This window comes from Homo sapiens, chromosome 2 (genome assembly GCF_000001405.40).
Source record: "Homo sapiens chromosome 2, GRCh38.p14 Primary Assembly".
In the NCBI taxonomy this organism is placed as follows: domain Eukaryota; kingdom Metazoa; phylum Chordata; class Mammalia; order Primates; family Hominidae; genus Homo; species Homo sapiens.
This window is the reverse complement of record NC_000002.12, coordinates 105,267,746-105,288,962: the sequence shown is the minus strand read 5'-3', so window position 1 is coordinate 105,288,962 and position 21,217 is coordinate 105,267,746. Positions and strand designations below refer to the sequence as shown.

The following is a 21,217-nucleotide window of genomic DNA, read 5'->3' as shown; positions in this document are numbered from 1 at the left end:
AATTGAAGGTTTTTTCAGAGCCTCTAATATTCTAACACTTATTGTGATTCCCCAAGAGGGTATATATCATATATTATTATATTTTTATTGTCTTTCTGTGCACCCTCACAAAGGGATATATATACACATATACATGCACACCTGTTTACAAATTTATTCAATCAGGACACATTGCCTTTTTAACAAGGAGAATGCCATGGTCCTCATGTTCCACCTAATATATTTCGGGAAAGATGTTTCTGTTTAGACAATAACTTACATGGTTTTTTAATAAGTTAAAAAAAGGGGTTGGTATGAATATAGTTAAAATGGTAACACTCATGCCAATTTTTGTTTAGAATTTAGCTGTACTTACAAGAATGATACTTATGTCTCATATATTCCTGTTATATTCTCCATGTTATGGGGCATTATAACATAAATCTCAGTGGTCTGCCCCATGCCAGGAGTAGACTGTCCTCTGCGCTTTGGTAGCTGGCTGGCAACAACTGTGTTTGCCAGTTTCCCTTCTCCAGGTCTGCAGTTGATCGTATAATCTAGCCAGGGTGACCCACTGCCTCTTAGCCCCATCCTGTCCCTGAATTAGCCATAGCCGAGAGCCCTGGAGAGCCGAGAGCTCAGGAAGGGGAGAGGCAGCCTGCTCGTGCTGTCCTCAGCACTGGCTCAGGGGTGCACTGGCTCAGGGGTCTGTGTCGTCCCCGTGTGCCTGTTCATCTTCCCTCAGCTCCAGGGTTTACATGGTGTGTGTCCTGCTGTGATATTTGCAGACTCATTTGGTTGTGGTTGTCATCTTTCTCAAAAAATTCTTACTATAGCTGTGAAAAATATTCTAGTCTGAGCTCACATTTGACCTACCCAGTTTTTACAGACTTGAAAGAAAATATCTTTCTGAGTTGCAGTAAATGACTCCATTATATTCCTTATCCACGCCTCACCACTTGATGCGTTTTTGTATCACATTTGGCCTAGGAGTTGGTGTAGCCACCTGAGGCCCCATGTTTGAGGAACTGGCTTTTGTCACGTGAAGGTGTCGGTGCTGCCATCGTGTGGTTGTTCCAGGTGCTTGTAGGAAGTTTCCTTTTAAAATCTGATTTTCTTCAAGTCTTTCTTTCATTAAAAAAGGATTTATCCACCTCCCTCCATTACTCACAGAGATGTGACAGAATCAAGCAGATAGACCTGGAAGGTGATGGAAAAAGTTAAAGCCTGGGATTAGTTAGGAGTGCTAATTACAGACTCAGCCTGAAGAGACAGACAACATTTATTGTGTGCTTACTGCATGCCAGGCACTGTTGTGACGGCCACACCCAGCTGCACTCTCTTAATCCTCACCCCAACTCTGAGGTTGCACGGTTCTGCTCCCTGTATAAAGATGAAGATGCAGCGTGGAGGGATAGAATAACCCACCCAGGGCCACACAGCTAATGACAAGCAGAGCCTGCACTCAGACCCACACATTCTGATTTTAGAGCGTTTCACCTCAGCCTCCACCACAGATCACCACAGACATGAGAAGCCTTTGGCTACTACCAAAATTCAGTAAAGGAAAAAAATCTACCTGGAGAAGTTATTTTTTTTGTAATGTGGTAAAATATACATAACATAAATTTTACCATTTTAACTATTTTTAAGTGTGTAGTTCTGTGGCATTGAGTGTATTCACCATGCTGTGCAGCCGTCACCACCCACCATCTCCAGACCTTTCATCTTCCCAGGCAGAAACGCTGTGCTACCGAACACTAACTCCCCACCTCCCCACCCTACACCCCCACCAGCCCTTGGCAGCCCCCATTCTGCTTTCTGTCTCTATGAATCTGACTGCACTAGGGACCTCGCATCCGGGGAATCATACAGTATTTGTCTTGTGACTGGCTGACTTCACTGAGCACGTTGTCCTCAACGTTCATCTGTGTTGCAGCCTGTGTTGGAACTCCCTTCCTTTTTAAGACTGAGTAGCATTCCATTAGTTAGAAAGGTGTATTTTGTTAGGCAGTGCATAGTAAAGAGCCATGAGAGAAGCTGCCCTTTGAATTAAGTGCTTAGAAGAACTGTTCTCTCCAGAAGCGCTTGTGTTATGTTTAACTTGGACAATGCAGCCTTGGAAACAGGTTTAGAAGTCTTTAGATTAGAATCTTCTTTCAATTCCCCAAATCACAAATGTTAGAAATCTCAGTTCAGAAATATAATACTGATAATAAGGATTTTGACTTCAGTTTCAACTTGCTTCCAGAATCCATGCAGCCTCTTAAGCCTGCCGGAAGCCAGGTGTTTGGCCTGTAGCCTCTGTACAGAGTAGACATAGAGTGGCTCCTTAGAGGGCTAGTTTGCTGACTTACTCTCTTCACCTGGCAATTTGCACCACTGCCTTATAATGAAGGATGAGCTGATAATGAAAAAAGAAACTTGGAGCATCCACTGATGAGTTAGCTCTGGAGATAAATGGACTTTCTTGTTCTCTGTCCTTCGTATGTACTCATCCTTTTCGTCTTTTCCCTGACAGCCTACCTGGCTCCAGGTTTTATAGCTCAGGATCATCTGAGCAGAGGGCAGGAGGAGGCATTGATCGTAGTAGACAGTTTGGAAATGAGACCGTCACCTTCAGAGAACCAAGAATTGGCCATGCTTGGTAAAATTTCTGATCAGGCATTTTTAGGTGGAATCTGACGGTGTTCTCTGTATCATCCTGGGCTTCAGCATCCATGATGCTTACATCCAGGATGAAGAACCTCTTTGCATTCCCCTTCCAAGTGTGCATGTAGCATTCCCAGACTAGATTATAGAAAATAACCCCTTATTCTTGGAGATTTGGAATGTCCACAGGAGTAATTTCCATTTCCCTGCAGATAGAGGAAGAGCGGATGCCATTTGAATCCTACCGCCATAAGGAATAAATTGCCGTTCTGATTTCTCCTCAACAAGCCTGGGTGTGATTGAGAATTCTTCTACTGCAGCTGATGGGTCCTTTGCATCCCTTTTGCTAAGTGGCTGGCCTCTAGTATTTCTGCTTTCAGAAATGTTACTGGCATTCCCAGGCAACAGAACGTTGCCTTGCTCCCTTTTGCTTATTGTTGGGTGGTATAATTGATTTGGTCTTTAGGTCAGAAATGGCTGGTTTCAGTGAAGAAAATTAAAGACTGATGGTAAAGGGAAAACTGAAAGGTTTAAGCAGCCTGCTTTGTCTGACATCTCTAAAGGGATTTCTACTGGAAGTAGGTGAGGAATGGTTGCTATGCTTCTGAGAGTCCTTTAAAACTACTGTGTAGTGAAAGCTTTTTTTTCTTCCACCCTGTCTTATGGTGCTGAGTGAAAGCCCTTTGAAAGGTAATTTGAGAGAACAGGGTTGATAGCATTTCAACACCGAGGTTCCACTTCTGTTGTACCTTCAGTGGGTAACACACCAGCTGCCTGCTGTGTACCTGGAGGAATCAGTGAGTGGAAAGATCTGGCCTCTAGAATCAGAAAGGCCTGGTTTTAAATCATGGTCCAACAATTCTTACTTTAGTAAGTTGGGTCTAAAAACGTAGCATCTCTGGGCAGAGTTTTTGTACCTGTAAGATGGGGATAGTGAGTGACAATGGAAGTGGAGTTTCATACAAATGGATCAGAGAGTTGATCAGTAAGCACCGACTGAATGGCAGACACATGGCTAGTAGTGGGAGACGCTAGGTGAGTGATGTATTTGCCGTGCCTTCACAAAATGTGTGGCTGTCAAATGGAAGGATGAGTTAGAAGGAGGAGGTGTCAAAGTCAGAGAGAGTAATTAAAACACAGTCTTTACTCATGAGGCGATTAGAGCCTGGGCTATGGTGTTGGCATCTGTAGGAACAGAGTGAAGAAACATGTCCAGGAGCCATTTCATATAGACAATGGCAAGACGAGGACACCAGCCATGCTGGACGGTGACGGAGTGGGGCGTGGGATCAGAGACACCACACAGCAGGTTCCTAATGTGCATTTTGCTATTGCTGGATGTAACAAGAACAAAGTGGTCATGGAAATGTGGGTCATAGTGGAGTAAACAAGATAAACTGGCCCCTTTATTGCAGGAGTGTCGGATGTTGGTGTGTTCATGTGGGTTGGACGTCACCAGCAGGAGATGGAACATGCAGCATTTCTGCATCTCTGACTAAGAAAGCCTGGGTGTTTGTCTGTTTCATTATGAAATGAGTCGGCCCTGTGCTCTGAGGGATGCTCTGAAAGGTGGTACTGTGAGTTCAATTCCAGAAGAGTGGAAGAAGGCCAGGCGGTTCCTGGACTGCCAGAAACACCAGGGTTGTTGATATCCATCTCAGCAATCACAAGTACAGGGACTCGTTGAAGCCCTGTGAGTTAATGAGGAGGAGTATTGGAGATCAAGACGTGCATTTGGGAAAGATTGGGGAATTACAAAAATAAAACCATAAAGAGACAGATACATATAATTTCATATGCACCTTGTTTTTTCCTCAGCTTGTAATTTTACATTTCTATGTTATAACGAACACTTATCTAGGGTTAGACAAATTTAACCCTGCCGTGATGGTTTCAAGATTCACTAAGAGATTACACCCGTCTTTCCTTGCAGGTAATGTACAGAAGGATTCTGCAGCAGGCGGGATTTATACAGTTTGCACAACTTCAGTTCCTGGAAGCTAAAGAGCTCTTCAGGTAATTTGAGGTGCTGGTAGCAAGACTGCCACTACAGTGTCCCTCTGTGGCCAGAACCTGCGTTTCTGGTGTGACGTCGCGGTGGGATGTGTTGCATGGTTAGATTGTGCTTCAGGTGGATACGGTGGGGGTAGCTCGTGACAGCAGACCCCGCCAATGCTGGTTCCTCAGCGTCACCCCTCACCCGGAGCCTTAATTTAACTGGCCTATGTCTTAGAGTGGGAGCAGACAAAGGGCACAGACACTAGTCCTGTGGAGGCATCGAGATTGTTTTGCCAGGAGAAAATTCTAAAGAGCGGATCTGATAGCACGCAAAGGACCCCTAGGAAAGTGCTTTGGTTCATTCTTGCTTCTCTCCAGTGTTTTTACAAGAAGCTATGAGCTTAGTGCAGGGGGGAAAAGACAGTGCTTCTGGGAAGACTTATGAAACTTTCTGTCATCCTCTAAAGACTTTCTAAATGTTCTATTCCTGGTCAGCTCTCAGAAAGTTGAGTTTCTCTTAAGGAGGTCCCTTCTGGCACTGTGATTACTCTTGTGCTTGTCGGATGTGCTTGTGGGCTGTTGATTGTGTTCTCCCCTTTCCCCTGCCCGCCACACCTGCCTTACAGGCACGCCTTGCTGTCATGCCACCTCCAGCTGCCCTTGTCCCACAGCTGAGTGCTCAGTGAGGCAGGAGTTAGCCATCCCAGGCCTTGCTCAGCACTCTTTGCAGAAGATTAAGTTAGACCTGCTATGAGAGTCTTGAAATATCGTACTCAGGCACTGCCTTTAGAGTAAGTTCTCAAAATGTCTCTCCAGAATAGATTGTGCACAGTTTACAGCTATCTAAGAAATAACATGTATAGGAAGCCCCTGAATAGATATTTTCATCCAAGTAGTGACTTGAGCAGAATGCCTCCCTTGCCTGTTCTGTAGGAGGTCTGCCCATGACCAGCCACGTCCTTACATCCACGGTGGCTCTAATCTTTCACTCTATGCTGGATATTTGAAGAATGGCATTACTGAAAATGATTACAGTTACACAATCGGTTGTAGAGAATGGATTTCTAAGTAAAGGAGGAATCATTCCTTGAATAATGATGCCCCATATAACTTTTTCTTGTACAACTCTTACATGCTGTTCTCTGTTCTTGGAAAGACCCGTGGCTTCAGGGTTTAAGTCAGTTTTTTGCCCCTTTGGACCTAGGCTCTTTTCTGCCGTATCTTGTGTTAGCCCTACAGTGTTGAAGACCTCCTCACCGGGGTCATGGGTGTATCCCAAGGTGTCTTCTTTCTCTTATGGGTTAATCTGAAACATTAGGTGATTGTCCACAGATGGATTCCTAGAAGAGTCCTCGGATTTTGTAAGAGAATAGATGTGGGGCCTGTTATTAGGATGACATTCCTGTACTTCCGCACCTCACTCTCTTAATGGCTTAACTTTAAATTGCTGCTCGTCTTTGGTCCAAAGTGTGGCTGAGAGAACGGATTTTTTTTTTTTTTTTCGTTTTGAAGCAGCATCTCATTCTGTCTCCCAGGCTGGAGTGCAGTGGTGCAATCATAGCTCACCGCAGCCTCGACCTTCTGGGCTCAATGATCTTCCTGCCTCAGACCCCTGAGTAGCTAGGACTTCAGGTGTATGCCACCACGGGACCTGGCTAATCTTTTATTTTTTGTAGAGATGGGATCTTATTGTGTTGCCCAGGCTGGTCTCAAACTCGTGGCCTCAAGTCATCCTCTTGCCCCAGCCTCCCAAAGTGGTGAGATCACAGCCATGAGCCACTAGGCCCAGCCTGAGAATTGATATTTGAAGAAGATACTTCTAAGACAAAGATGATTCCACTTCCTTTTCTGTGCTCACAGCAAATGTTGCTAATAAATTGTGATTTTCTTTTCCTCGTTGAACTGGACCCGTCCTCTGACTCCTCAGTGCCGTGCCGGAGGCCACAGTTACCAGCTAGTTATGGTTGAAACTTAAGAGAAAATTGATCATACATAACCTGGGGATGTGGGCTCTGTGTCTCTTCCTTTAGACCACCTGCACCCTGTCGTTGTATCAGCTAGGTTCAGCTCTTCTTTCATTCAGCAAACGTGGCCTGAGCATCTGAGCAATGGATGGAAGGGTAACCCAGTGCCTGCTTCTCTGGCATGCCCATTCTAGCTTGGAAACTGGATGTGTGCCTTTCCTGCAGCACAGGTGCTGCTCTGCTGTGGGAGCGTTGCATGGGCTCACATCAGCCAGTGGAGGAATCTTCCCTGGATTCGTCCTGGATCTTAAACAATGAGCAGAAATTTCTCAAATCAAGAATTGTACTTTAGGTCAGGGATTCTCAGCTGTGGCACTGTAGACGTTTTGAGCCAGATAATTCTTTGGGCAGGGGGTTACTGTCTTGTGCATTACAGGGTGTTTAATGGCAGCAGCCCTGGCCTCTACCTACTAGATGCCATAGCACACCCCCGCCCCAGTCATGATAAAATTGTCTCCAGGCATTGCCACATGTTCCCCAGGGAACAAAATTGCTTTTCACCAAGAACCACTGCTTTAGGCCAGGAAACAACCACAGCAAAGGCTGAGAGTCATGAAATGTACAAACTGGCAACATAAGTGGGTCTAGTAGAAGTGTTGGGGTGTGGGAGGGATGCTTGAGGCTGAAGGTGTAGGGTAGCTTGAGATCAGTTTGGGAAGGGCCTTGAATGCCATACTAAGAGATTTGAAATTTATCCTGTGGGTTATACAAATCACTGGAGGTCAGGAGAGGCTGAGTGAAGTGGAAGGAAGGGCAGCCAGAGGTGGAAGCCAGTAGAGGAGGACAGCTGATCAGAGCTTGGATGAAGGAGGATGCTCTGAACATCGCAGGCAGCATGGATCCTGGGTCCTTCCTCGCCATTCCATGTGTCTGGGGTGGGGTGGCCCCTGCTTCTGTTCCCTCAGGAGGTTTTCCACAGCTGGGTCTGACACTGGGCCAGGTTTGAGATCCACAGCTCCTGCTCTGATTGTAGCCAGGACAAGGAGGTTCCGGAGAGGAGATGGGAAAGGAACTGTTTGTTGCATTACAATGTTAGGCTCTGAAATTCTACGAGAGTCCCCACAGAAATGGCCACATGAATATTTCTGTGTCTTCTGTTGTGAGATGTTGGTGAGGAAGTTGTAAGTTACTGTTTTTATAAAGTCCCTTCTTCAAGGACCATTCAACAAATCTGTTTGTAATTTAGTGCCAGGAAAATGCTGGTTTCAGCAGAGCTGTGATGGTGCCTTTGCGCAGACTCTGATGGCGTGTTATCCTGGGTGTTGCTTTTCTGCCTTGGTTTCCAGGCTCAGCTGGGTATTCTCTTCATCATAGGCATTTTGGTGTTCCACTCTCACACCAGTTCTGTATGTGTCTTTCACCTTCGTCCCTTCTGTTCTTTTTTGGAGCCAGGTGGCAGCACCCACTTGGATGGTGCTTTGCTGCACTTCAGATTAGAACGGTTGCTCTGACATGATTACCCTGTCCCCAGCTCCCCAGCCCCCTGTGAACGTGTGCCACCGTGCGCTCCCCTCCAGTGCTGTTTTGTGTGCCTATGTGTACTCTTCTCTCTTTTTGCTTCATTTAGTTTGACACTGTAATTGCAGAAGCGGCCAGCTTGATGTCCGGGAGCTGATCTCTCTCTACCCCTTCCTGTTGCCCACCTCCTCCTCCTTCACCCGGTCCCACCCTCCTCTTCATGAGTACGCAGACCTGAACCAGCTGACCCAGGGGGACCAGGAGAAGATGGCCAAGTGCAAACGCTTCCTCATGAGCTACCTGAACGAGGTCCGCAGCACAGAGGTAGCAAATGGCTACAAGGAGGACATCGACACAGCCTTGCTCAAACTGTATGCAGAGGCTGACCACGACAGCCTGCTGGACCTCCTGGTCACTGAGAACTTCTGTCTTCTGACGGACAGTGCTGCCTGGCTAGAGAAGCACAAAAAGTGAGTGTTCCCTTCCTGATATGATCAGGGCTTCCCGCCCTGCACCCTTACTGAGGCTCTTTGCTGGGGAGATCCTCGTGAAGTGACTTAGCCAGTGTGATGTTTATGTTCCCAAGTACCTATAGGTGACTGCCACGAAATCATAGTGACAGCAGATGCATGTGCTCCTCAGATGCCCTCTCTGTCTCCACCATCTGCAGACCCCTTGAAGGGGTCTTGGAGGGCATTTGTTCTCATTCCCATTCTTTAATAATTTGGAGTATAGTTTGGAACTAGTAATATGCTTTGTGAGTAAATGAAGTTAATTTTCTTTCTTTTTTTTTTTTTTAATGACTATTTTTTTTGAGACGGAGTCTCGCTCTGTCACCCAGGCTGGAGTACAGTGGTGTGATCTCAGCTCACTGCAACCTCCACCTCCTGGGTTCAAGCAATTCTCCTGCCTCAGCCTCCCAAGTAACTGGGACTACAGGTGCACGCCACCACACCCAGGTAATTTTTGTATTTTTAGTAGAGACGGGGTTTTGCCATGTTGGCCAGGCTGGTCTAGAACTCCTGACCTCAGGTGGTCTGCTCGCCTCGGCCTCCCAAAGTGCTGGGATTACAGGGGTGAGCCACTGCGCCCAGCCATGAAGTTATTTTTCAATTTCCTTTGTAGTCAGCCTCGTATTCACTTGTGGGAGATGCCACATGTTTATTGGTAAAATTTACAGTGCATTTTAGTTACTGACAACTGAATTGAATAGATAGCTAGATAAACAGATTCAAAGGGAGGCTTCTTGATTTTGTTGATACATGGTATGGTTTTAAACTCTGCCTTCCTTGGCTGGACATGGGGGTTCATGCCTGTAATCCCAGCATTTTGGGAAGCTGAGGTGGGCATATTGCTTGAGCCCAGGAGTTTGAGGCCAGCTTGGGCAACACAGTAAGATCTTGTCTTTACTAAAAATTAAGAAGAAATTAGCTGGGTGTGGTGGTTCACGCCTGTGGTCCCAGCTACTCAGAAGGCTGAAGCAGGAAGATTGCTTGAGCCCAGGAGTTTGAAGCTTCAGTGAGCAGTGATTGCACCATTGCATTCCAGCCTGGAGACAGAGCTAGACCCTGTCTCAAAAAAACAAAAAACTCTGCCTTCCTTATGTGCATGAGTTAGTAGATGGCCTTATGTATCATGGACTGTTAATGCATAGTGCCTGGCTTAGTTGGGGCCAGCAGCTTCTCCATTCTGGGCAGCTAACACATAGCCCAACCATTCTAGGCCTCACTTTTCTTATCTTTAAAAATGAGAGGGGTTGGGTGATCCCTCAGCTCCATTTACAGGATAAGATTTTTTCGGTCTATGATTTTCGTTAAGGATTTGAAATGACAAAAGCGTGGATGAACTCCCACAGAGACCCTGGGGTCACTGTGCTAGTATCTGAGATGTCAGAGCCTTCCACGTGGGTATTGGCCTTTTCAGCAGTTTCCATCAGCCACTCGGATATGCTATGGAATCAGTGTTAGTTTTTTCAGGAGCCAGAAAACACACTGCCACCTTATGGTAGTGACAAGGGATGGTGGGATCCGTAGAGTCAGCATGACTTTCCAAAAGGTTGAGGAAAAGAGAAGGATTCAAGCAGATGCCTCAATATCTTGAGAGTGTGCCCTTGGAGGGAAGATGCTTGACCCCTCACTGGTCAACTTACTCCAGTTTCCTGCTGGGAAGGAGGACCAGGAGTGTGGCACCCTTGCAGACTTTGGGAGGGTGCTGAGGGCTCACTGCCCAGGCAATGCCAATGCTATTGCCGATCTTTTCCATTTATAGGTGAGGAGTTAGAGGCTGGGCAAGTTAACCTACTTGCTCAAGGTCACGCGGGTTATAAATAATGAAGCTGGACTTGAAACCCAGGTTCTTGAACTCTGGGCACTCTCCCCCAGGACGCTCCCTGACTCTGTGGTCTGCGAGTCCCGGACACTAGCACTTCCTGCTGTTCCTCATGTTCAGAGCCCCTGCCCTCCTTCTCAGTCTCTGCTTAGGCAAAGTAGCTTCTGCATATTCTTCTAGTACCTCATGTGGGTTAATAGTAGTAGACCAAAGACATATGAAATTATATTAATATTTGAAGCAAATTGTAAAGCAACTCCAGCTGTGATTTTTCCATAGTTTACTTTTTCAGCTCATCTTAGATTGGAATCAGATTCTTTTTGGAAGTTGATAGAGCATATATTTTTAGTACCATAAGTAAATATACAGCAATGAGAATCCTTTGGTTGTTTGTTTGTTGTTGTTGAACTACACACACACACACACACACACACACACACACACACACACACACATATATTTTTTGAGACAGGGTCTCACTCCGTCACCCGGGCTGGAGTGCAGTGGCACAATCAGGGCTCACTGCAGTCTTAACTTTATGGGCTCAAGTGATCCTTCTACCTCAGCACCCCAAGTATCTGGGACTACAGATGTGTGCCCCACACCTGGCTAATTTTTAAAAATATTTTAATAAAGACAAGATCTCACTATGTTGTTGCCCAGGCTGGTCTCAAACTCCTGGGCTCAAGCCATCCACCCACCTTGGCCTTCCAAAGTGTTGGGATTACAGGCATGAGCCTGAACTCGAGTTGAATAGAATATGGGGAGCTTGGACTGGGGGTGTCACTGTGTGAAGGTCGCCTCCAGGAGCTGATGGGGAGAGGTTGTACTTACCGTGTTGTTCTGTTTCAGGTATTTTGCACTTGGACTGCTCTATCATTATAATAACCAAGATGCTGCTGCAGTTCAGGTGAGTCTAGAAGGGTTTCCACATGATTTAAAAATCAGCACCATGTAAGTAATACTTAGTGTTACTTAAAAAAAATTCACAAGTTGATAGAGACCACTTTTGCCTGATCTACACCCTTTTATACAGAATAAAAATGATTCTGTTTTAGAAAGTGAATTCCTGGAGAAATGTTGGCCAAGAGTTTTCTTCTCATTGTCTTTCCATCTCCTTAAAGAACATTATCAAGACTGAGTTTTTGAAAACTTAAGAAATGAAAATATGATCTCACAGAGTTCCAAGTCATAATATATCACTACCCTTATCAGAAAATTTAGGCAGTGAATGATAGTCGGATTTACCATTTCCACTGTTAGTGATGATCACTGTTGCCAATGAGCTGGGTACATTATTATCCTTGTGTCACCTGTGACAAAACCAAAGCTGATGCATGCCAGTTGCTTGCCCGAGGCCATGTGTCCGTGGTAGATCTGGGATCTGAACCGCGCTCCATTGGCCTGGCAGGGGTCCTGCACCCTAATCAAAATGGCATCGATTTATTAGCATTGTCACATTTTGTATCTTACATCTTGCTACTGATCTTGAGAAAAGCCTCATCTCACACTCTCAGGGGGAGACTTTCTCCCCTTCGTTATTAGTTATGCATTTGTACTGCACCGTGTTGTTTCCTGATGTGCCTTTTTGCTTTATTTTGTGAGGGGCCAAGAGCATCAGCCATGTTCCCCAAGCTAAAGTTAACCTCATGACTCTGGCAAGGCTGAACATGTATTTAGTGTTTGATTGCTTTGTGAGACTATTGTGGTAACCTGATTGCAGAGCAGAACAACAACAACAACAAAAAATGGAGTTGGGTGAATTAACACGTACCCAATGGCCAAGAGTAGATTTGGGTGTCAGTGATAAAATTTTCATTTTCAAAAACCTGGTGTTCTCAGTTACAGCTTTATATAAGTATAGTAATAACTTTAGCAGAGCTGTAGAGAGATAGATTTGCAAACTTGAAGTGATATGGGATAAATCTCCATACGTGGTAGAATTTTATATAAAATGGCATATTTCAAGGTATGTGTGATTATTTGGTTTCAGCAATTCTGTGTTGAAGAAACTAGTATCATAAAAAATGTTCGTATGCTGACATCAGAATTCCAGAATTCATATGCCACCCCTGTTTCTGGGCTCCTTCCTGGTGCTGTGGCTTGGAGGGGTGGTGCTGTGTATGGGTGGGTGAGGCACGCCATGCAGGTATTGCAGAAGGAACCCACGCAACCGTCATCCTTTCTACCCCCAAGTGATGCTGCCTCATTCTGGGGTCCTGAAAGTAGGCTTCACTTAACATGGTAGGGAAGTTTCTGGCTGAAAAAGCAAAAGGCTTTTATCACTGGAGTCTATCCTGAGCCCCCTGTGCAAAAGGCAGTGTGAACTCAGGGGACAGAATCACTGAAGCTTTTGTAAAAGCACAACATCTGCCTATCACAGTCCAAAGGGGACTTCAAAATCAAGAATGTCTGTGACGGAGAAGATGGAAACAGAGCCTGGCTGATGGTTGTAGGTGAATCTTCTCTGTGTCGAGATGTTATCAGTGACCGTTTTCTTTATTTCATGAAGAAACATTTTTAATATATTCACCTCCCTGCATATATTCTGTTTACTGTGTTATTGTTAAAAAAAGAAAGAAAGATAAAAGAACCTAGAGCTTAATTTTTTTTTTTATTTCTTGGACTATGTCTTTTTACATTTCTTTATTTCTCCAAAAAAACTAAAATTTAAGCATTTACAGTTTTTCCAACTACTTTAAAAGGTATTAAAAAGCCAAATAAGTAAACATATGCCATTTCTCAACTAATTCTGAGATATGTGCCTTTATGATTGTTTTTTCTTTTCTTTTTCTTTTTTTCTTTTTGATTCCTTTCCAGTTGTGGGTGAACATTGTGAATGGCGATGTCCAGGACTCCACACGCTCAGACCTGTATGAATACATCGTGGATTTTCTTACCTACTGCTTAGACGAGGAACTAGTGTGGGCCTATGCTGATTGGGTCCTGCAGAAAAGTGAAGAGGTTTGTGCTTCGTAAAAATGCATTCTCTTTGGTTGGGGGAGGTGGTAAAAACAGACCCCAAAAGCTTTGCTTTTAGGAGGGGAAAAGAAAGCTACATTTCAACCTCCTCCTCTGTTTTTTGTTGTTGTTATTATTCCCCTTTTAATACCTTCCCTTGAGCTCTCTGGATTCTAGCTCTAGGGCAGTTCTGCATCTTGCTGCTGAGACATTCCATTGAGAATCCCCTTGCTGGGGCAAGTCACTTGTATAGAAAAGCAAGACATAGCCAGCTTGCATTTTTAGCATCTTCTTAAGAACTTGTGTCTGTGAACCCCGCTCCTCGACCCCTCAGAAGTCTGACACTGCTGTTTTCTGGAGCAGGATTAGGTGGTTGCCCTGAAGGACTTGATCTTTGGGAGGAGGAAGCACCCAGACCTGGGCCACACTGGGCCCTCATCCCTGCTCCCACCACTGCCAACATGGAGCTTGTGGGCCTGGAGGAGGGAGGGGAGCCATGAGCAAGACTCGGCCTGTCCTGGAGGCTGAGAAATGCTGGCAGTGAAAAAGCACCTGTTGGCTAGAGGGAAGGTAGCAGGCTCAGGACAGTATCCTTAGTAAAGCCCCACAGGTGACCACAGGTGACTGGGAAGAAGACAGCAAGCATTTCAGTTCTCATCGTGAAAAACGTATACGCTTCCATGGCTCCCCTTGGAGAGACAAAATGAGCTTTCTGATGCAGGACGTTGGTCCTGAATGGAGAGTTTCTGAGTGCTGCATCTGCCTTTCTAAGACCTGAGTTGGAATATATTCTCATATCCTCCGTGGTGCTGGCTTCCCTGGAAAATCAGAGCCAGGCACTTGCACTTTGCATACTTGTTTCTCCATCTTTACTTTGCCTCTGTGCACACGCCTGCAGAGCACATCCTGACCTGCTCACACACACCTACAACATGGATCTCAGTGCCGTTGCAAGGTTTAGGCTTCTCCCAATGCTTATGGATGATAACAGCAGATACTGCACGGTGGACAATCCCCTGACAAAGGTCATCGCTTAAACATCATAGCAGCCCCTCAGTGGGCATTAGCTACAGATGAGGAAACTGAGGCTATAGTTGGTAGAGCTGGGACACAAATCCAGGCTTATAGAATCCAAAATTCATACCATAATACATGATACGTGAATGTATTGGCCTTGGAGGGGGGAGGTGCGTGTGTGCGTGCACATGATAGAACCTCCCACATGTAAGTGCTCAGGGGAGGTGCAGTGGAGAGCTGCTTTCCTGCCTGCCTCACTGTCCTTTCCTTGAACCAGAGGATTGGACCAGTGCCTCCACTTGATGGACACAGGAAGGCAGCCCGGAAACTTACTCAGGGACTGGAAGCTCAGATCTCAGATTAACCATCTATCATAAATAACCCAGAGTAGATAATCCATGTTCAGAGAAGTGAGTTTACTGTACAGAAATTTCAGCACTTTTGATATCTTTTCACATACTGTTCTGCAACTGGCTATCCCTGTTCTTGGATGATCTTAATGTTATTATTATAGGTTGTCAAAATCTGTCACCAGTAAATGCTTTGTTCTTCAGTTTCCAATTTGCATGGGGTGTGTGAGGAGGACTTCAGGGTATAGGCTGGCTTTTCTATCTTGATTTTTTGCCCTCTGGCCTTTGACAGTGCTTCATGCTGGGCTGTTTTTCTCCATAATTATATTTTTTAAGCCACTGTATTGAGATATGATTGACATACAAAAAGCTGTGCATACATAATAATTTAATCATATTTTAAGTGATGATTTTATCCAAAGCTTGAATGTGCAATGACCAAAATAAAGTTAAAGGAAAGGTGGGTTTGGGAAGCACAGTCACTGTATTGTCGCTCCTCTTTCAGGTCGGAGTTCAGGTTTTCACCAAGAGACCTTTGGATGAACAGCAGAAGAACAGTTTTAATCCAGACGACATTATCAATTGCCTTAAAAAATACCCTAAAGCCCTTGTGAAGTATCTGGAACATCTTGTGATAGACAAGAGACTGCAGGTGAGCACTGCAGAAGTTAGACTAAAGAGTGTGGGCTGGAGAGACGGAATTGAACTAGAACACTTTTTGGCATGTGATTCTGTGTAATGTCTGTTCCCTGGGTGATCCATCCGTACTTGTTGATGGTCTGATGGCGGCCTTGAGGCTTGCGGAAAGAGACCTGGAGCAATAGGTAGCTTTATTTTTTTCTCCGTCCGTCTCACACCCACTCAGCTTTTATTTTTCCTCTCTTTTCCTTCTTTGTTATTATCCTTAAAGGAAATAAAGGGAGCTATACCTTTTTGTAGGTTATCTAAATTCTGTGGCCCTTACTTCTTGAAATAAGAGGTGACATTTTGTTCTATTCCCCATAGATGGTAAACTCATCTCAGTATCATGGTTTCTGAGAGGGTTTCGATCCAGCAAGTGAGCATCTGCCCAGCTCATGTCAGTGCAGCCGCGGTCTCCAAGCCCTGGCTGACAGGGGAGAGCTTTGACTTTCCCACTTGAAAACACTGTCTGTCTGCTTGGCTCCCCCTGTTTCCTGCAGAAAGAAGAGTATCACACCCACTTAGCTGTGCTGTACCTGGAAGAGGTGCTGCTGCAGAGGGCCTCCGCCAGTGGCAAGGGTGCAGAGGCCACCGAGACGCAGGCCAAGCTGCGGCGGCTGCTCCAGAAATCTGATTTATACCGAGTCCACTTTCTTCTCGGTGAGGATGATCTCAGTATTGTCTCCCTTTGGAAAAAACTCATATCAAGCGGGTGGGAGGAAGCAGAGAGAAGGGCTTTGGCACAGCTGCTGGTTGATTGCACAGGGTGATTCTTTGAGCCTCTTTTTTTAAAAAGATTTTTTTAAATGAAGACAGGGTGTCGCTTTGTCACCCAGGCTGGTCTCAAACTCATGGCCTCAAGTGATCTTCCTGCTTCTGCCTCCTAAGGTGCTGGGATTATAGGCGTGAGCCACCACACTCAGCCCTTGAGCCTCTTTTGACAGAGTCAGCCTCCTTGCAGGGAGAAATAAGGCTTCTCGTGCCTCTAGAGATGGACCGTGCCTCTAGATGGACGGTGCCCTTTGATTGATGATGTTGGTGCTGCCCTGGTAGACTTTAGACGTCTGTGTGTCTCTTGACACACAGTGTCTTTATTCAATGTCAAAGCACTGAGTCATAGTTCCCTCTGACGGCTTCAGTCTCTGATCAAGGCTTTGCAGTAGGCACTGCCCCCAGCGACCCATTCCCGAGCTGCTCAAGGCTCAGGTCCCTCGAGCTCTAAGCAAGAAGGTTATGCAGGTGTCTTGGAGGGCATTTGGGTTTCTGTTCCTCAGGGGTACAGAGGCCACAGTTTCTGTATTGTGTAAAGTTCCACAGCGCAGCATGGTGCTTGCAACTGGTAGAATTAACTAGTTTCTTGCCACATTAAGAATTTCTGCATTTATACTCACTGGGGTTAGTGATGTGTTTTTCTTTAATGGCCTTTAATACCATTTTTTGACCAATAACAAAGCATATCTAACACACGTGTTGTCTCCATAAAGCACATCACAACCTTCCAGAGCTTAGGAGCGCTAGGCAGCACTTCAGCACTACACTGAAATCACCAACAAGAAGCACCAAAATGCAAAAAAGCATGGCAATAAATAGCCCGTGAAAAGGAAACGTGTAGCTAGTACGACAGCTGAAGCAAGGAAGGAGGGCGCTCCTTCTTTGGCCTCAGCTCTGCATCAGGCTCTGTGCTTGTCGTAAATGACCTTGAAGCTGCTGCGAGTGTTGATTGGGAGGTTACAAATAAATTTCAGCGAGTAGATGACTTTGTAAATACAGAATCCACAAATAATGAGGATTGACTAGATATGCCCAGCATAGGTTGAAACGCTGAGGCTGCCTTATGACACAGTTTCCACAACAACCCTGTGAAGTGAGGCCTGTTTTTCCTCCATTTTTACAGAAGAGTGCACTGAAGCCCAGAGAGGTTACCCCGCTTGCCACAGGTCACACAGCCCACGAGCAGTAGAGCCAGAACACAGGTGTGGGTTGGTATTTCATGAAACCAGCAAACACTAGTTCTGGCTTGTACCTGCACCTACATTAGGACTTTCTGTGGCGATCCGCTGTGCAATCTCTGTTCACTCACAGCCACCGTCCCTGACTGATCAGTGCCAGGGTGTCCCAGCTATTGAATTTTTACTCACTCCTGACTTATTCTTTTTGCTTTACAAATCTCCTTATAAAACTCTCAGGCCAGCCACAAGTGTGTGGTTCAATGTTTGCATTCCGCCAGCTTTTCTGAGTATGTAGAGTGTGTCACTGTGCATTGAGGATACAAAGATGGATGAGACTTGGTCCTGGTCCTCAGAGACTCAGAGTTTAATTGGAATGCAGTTAAGGGCAGGTACAGTTCTAGAAGGGCCGAGGAACCCACGAGCTGTGCCTTGGGGTGGAGGGGTCAGAGGCAGCCTCCCGGAAGAGGCCCTATATGAGCAGTCATTAGGTATAAGCCTGGGCTTGCAGGTAGCACAGGGGAGCTTTCAGGCAATGGGGGTATCCCCCGCAGCACTGTGGGAGGAGCACTGGAAATCCAAACACTGATTTTGTATCCCTTCTTAGTTAGATGACTTGGGGAAATGTCAGTCTAGGGAAGTTGTAAAAACGATTCCAGCCCAACCTATCCACTCGGGGTGGCTGTGGGAGTCAAATATAAATGAGATGATAGATGTGGAAGTGTAAATCACCACAGTGATCTTTTCTTAACTGTCTTTGTACCTCACCCAGGGTCTTAACTATGGCAGCCACTTAGTAATTATTTGTTGGCCTTCCACTGTGAGGATGAAGGCGTTGCGTATTGTGGCTTCTGTGTCTAGTGCTATAAGGGATGTACCTTGCAGGGCCAGCCCTTGGCTACACAGGTAGCAATGTCTGCCATGTTCTTCAGGCCTAAGCGACAGCCAAGATTCAAATGCCTATAATTTGATTATTAGTCTTGACCCTAAACTAGGGGTTGTCCTCATAATATTTCTTCACAGTAGGAAGAGATCTTATAATCTCTTGAGGATGTAAAAACAGATGAGCCTCACTTCTGGTCCTTAGAGACTCAGAGTTTAATTGCAATGCAGATAAGGGCTGGTGCAGTTCCAGACGGGCTGGGTGGGAAGTTACAGATGGGGTTACAGATGGGGTAGGAAGCAAGGTGACTTTGCCCGTGAGACACAGCCCACTAAGGGTGGGGCCTTGGTCAGGAATGACGCTTTGGGTTATGTCATTTTCCTTAGGACCTGGAAGCTTAATTGCAGGTGAAACAAACAAAAAAATCCTATTATTGGCAACCTTCTGTTGAGTAATGTAGAGATGGATTTTGAATAATATGAGCTCATATTCCATTCAATGAAATCTACTTTACATTGGAATAAAGGGGTTCAGCACATCTTTTGGGGGGAAGTAGTGTTTGTTAGGATTTTAGGGGACATAGTGTCCTTCTATTTTAGTCAAAAGATACTGTCCTGGGAGGATAGGAGTGATGATGGAGTGACTGGAGACCTGGAAGGCTGATACTCACTGAGCCACTGGGCCTTTCTGTAGTTGTGGTTCATTTGTTCTTTTCATCCTCTGAACACTAGAGAAAGGAATTATTCTGTGGTCCAGCTATACTTTTGAGTAGAGTCTGCCTTCTGTTTTACTAACACCTGGATTCACAGTGTGAAAATGCAAGAAAACCTACCCTCAGTCATCTGGGTGGCAGCATTTGGCATTGTGAGGGAGCCAGGTTGACTTTTCCCCTCCTGAAGCCCAGAGCAGCAAGGAGGCCAGTCGCTGGGCGGGTGGCCGGCGAGCCCCTTTCTTTCTGAGCTGCAGGTTCTGTCTTGCAGAGAGGCTGCAGGGAGCTGGCCTGCCCATGGAGAGCGCCATCCTGCACGGGAAGCTGGGCGAGCATGAGAAGGCGCTGCATATCCTGGTGCACGAGCTGCAGGACTTTGCAGCGGCCGAGGACTACTGCCTGTGGTGCTCCGAGGGCCGAGACCCACCCCACCGCCAGCAACTCTTTCACACGCTGCTGGCCATCTACCTGCATGCTGGCCCCACTGCCCACGAGCTGGCCGTGGCTGCCGTGGACCTGCTGAACCGCCACGCCACCGAATTTGATGCAGCCCAGGTGCTGCAGATGCTGCCTGACACCTGGTCAGTGCAGCTCCTCTGCCCATTCCTGATGGGGGCCATGAGGGACAGCATCCATGCCAGGAGGACCATGCAGGTGGCTCTCGGCCTGGCCAGGTCCGAAAACTTAATCTACACCTACGATAAGGTAAGTGCTGGCCCCCACGAGCTGCTTCCTGGTCAGTCAACATTGTACTGAAGGTAGATTTTACTGATGGAAAAATAGTCTTTGTTGGTTTTTCTTTTTTCTGTCTCTATGACTACAACACATCAATATCTGATCCTACTCATAGAAACTGAGGTCTGTGTGAGCAGAGGCAGAGGCTGGGCTGGTAGGTGTAACATCGGTGTAGTTTTTCTCCCCTTTTGGACGCTGGTGATTAAGAGAGTCTGTAGGGAGGAGAGCAGCATCAGAATATCAGGCGCTTACCCAGCATGTGCTGTGTGCCAGGCACTGACCTAGGCATTTTACGTCATGCTTGCATTTTGTCATCATGACAGTTTTATGCAGTATTTACTGTCAGCATCTCCATTTCACAGGAGAGGAAATTGAGGCAGAGAGCAGTCGCATGCTCAGGAAATGGGCGTGCCCAGAGCTGCCTCCCAGGCCAGTTGAGAACCCCACATTCTTCGTCCCCACACTGTACTCACCTTCGGGAGACTTCTTTCTTGTGGGCCTAAATTCCACATGGCTGGCAGAGTCTTCTTTCCAGAGCGGGTATCCGACGTGTTCCCCTCCCACTTAGAAGCCTTTGCTGACGCTCCCTGTCCTGGAAGATGCAGTCCCACCTCCTTCAGCATATCCCTCCCCACCTCTCTCTGCTTCCCAGCTCATGTCCTGGCTTTAGCACAACCTTCCAGATGTGATTTGGTATTTCATACTTTGTTGCTTTTGTAAATGCTGTACCCACTGCCTGAGATATTCTTACCTTTTTCTTTGTCCCCAGCAAATGCCCAGTCAAAATTTAGCCTTTATTTTTTTCCCTTGGTGAAGCCATCTCATACCTCTTAAGTAGAGTAATCACCTTCTCTTTCACCCACTTTTACTTGGTGTTCGCATTCACAGCTGTTACCCGCTACTATTAGAGTTTGGGTTCTTTGAGGACAGGGAACTTCATTTCTTTATCTCAGTGTCTGTAGGGCTAAGCCTGCCATGTCGAAGGCATCTAATCCGTGTTTGTGGAATGACTGATGCAACTAAGGAGTGCAGGATGAATCGCTAAGTTGCTGCTTGATCCTGCCAATAGACCAACCTGCCTCGGTTGACACGAGTGAATTGTGTAGAAAAACTTTATAACTTTCAGAACTCAAGTCCTGTTGATCAGACAGGGACCGATGGCATTAAGACTCAGTTTCACCAGTTACCTCTAAGGAAACGGAAGGGTGTCTCCCAGGACCAACCAGGAATATGCCACTTGTTAGCTGTGTAACTTTGACTACATCCCTTATTTGTTTGTGCTTTACTTTTCTTATTTGCAAATGAGAGAACCCTGGAGTTACACTATTATATGGTCTCATTCAGCATTAACATTCATGACTTTCTAACAGGCCTTGCTTGAAATGATCAGAGCCAGAGAATGTTGGAGAGAGGATCTTAAGTAGAAATGCCTCAGCCAGACAAGCAACAATTACTTTTGTGAAATAAGAAAAGCAATTGTGTAACTTTCTTCCTTG

The 21,217-nt window shown here is 45.9% G+C and overlaps 1 protein-coding gene across 3 annotated transcripts in view; it reads left to right on the top strand.

Annotated features, from left to right (window-relative positions):
• TGFBRAP1 (transforming growth factor beta receptor associated protein 1) overlaps positions 1 to 21,217 on the top strand; it is an 80,332-nt gene that overhangs the window by 40,773 nt on the left and 18,342 nt on the right. For all 3 annotated transcript variants that reach the window (NM_001328646.3, NM_001142621.3, NM_004257.6), the window contains exons 5-11: positions 4,565 to 4,647; positions 8,240 to 8,581; positions 11,292 to 11,349; positions 13,260 to 13,403; positions 15,273 to 15,419; positions 15,949 to 16,108; positions 19,258 to 19,691. In NM_001328646.3, the coding sequence (NP_001315575.1) occupies positions 4,565 to 4,647; positions 8,240 to 8,581; positions 11,292 to 11,349; positions 13,260 to 13,403; positions 15,273 to 15,419; positions 15,949 to 16,108; positions 19,258 to 19,691 (1,368 nt within the window). The remainder of the gene's footprint in view (positions 1 to 4,564; positions 4,648 to 8,239; positions 8,582 to 11,291; positions 11,350 to 13,259; positions 13,404 to 15,272; positions 15,420 to 15,948; positions 16,109 to 19,257; positions 19,692 to 21,217) is intronic.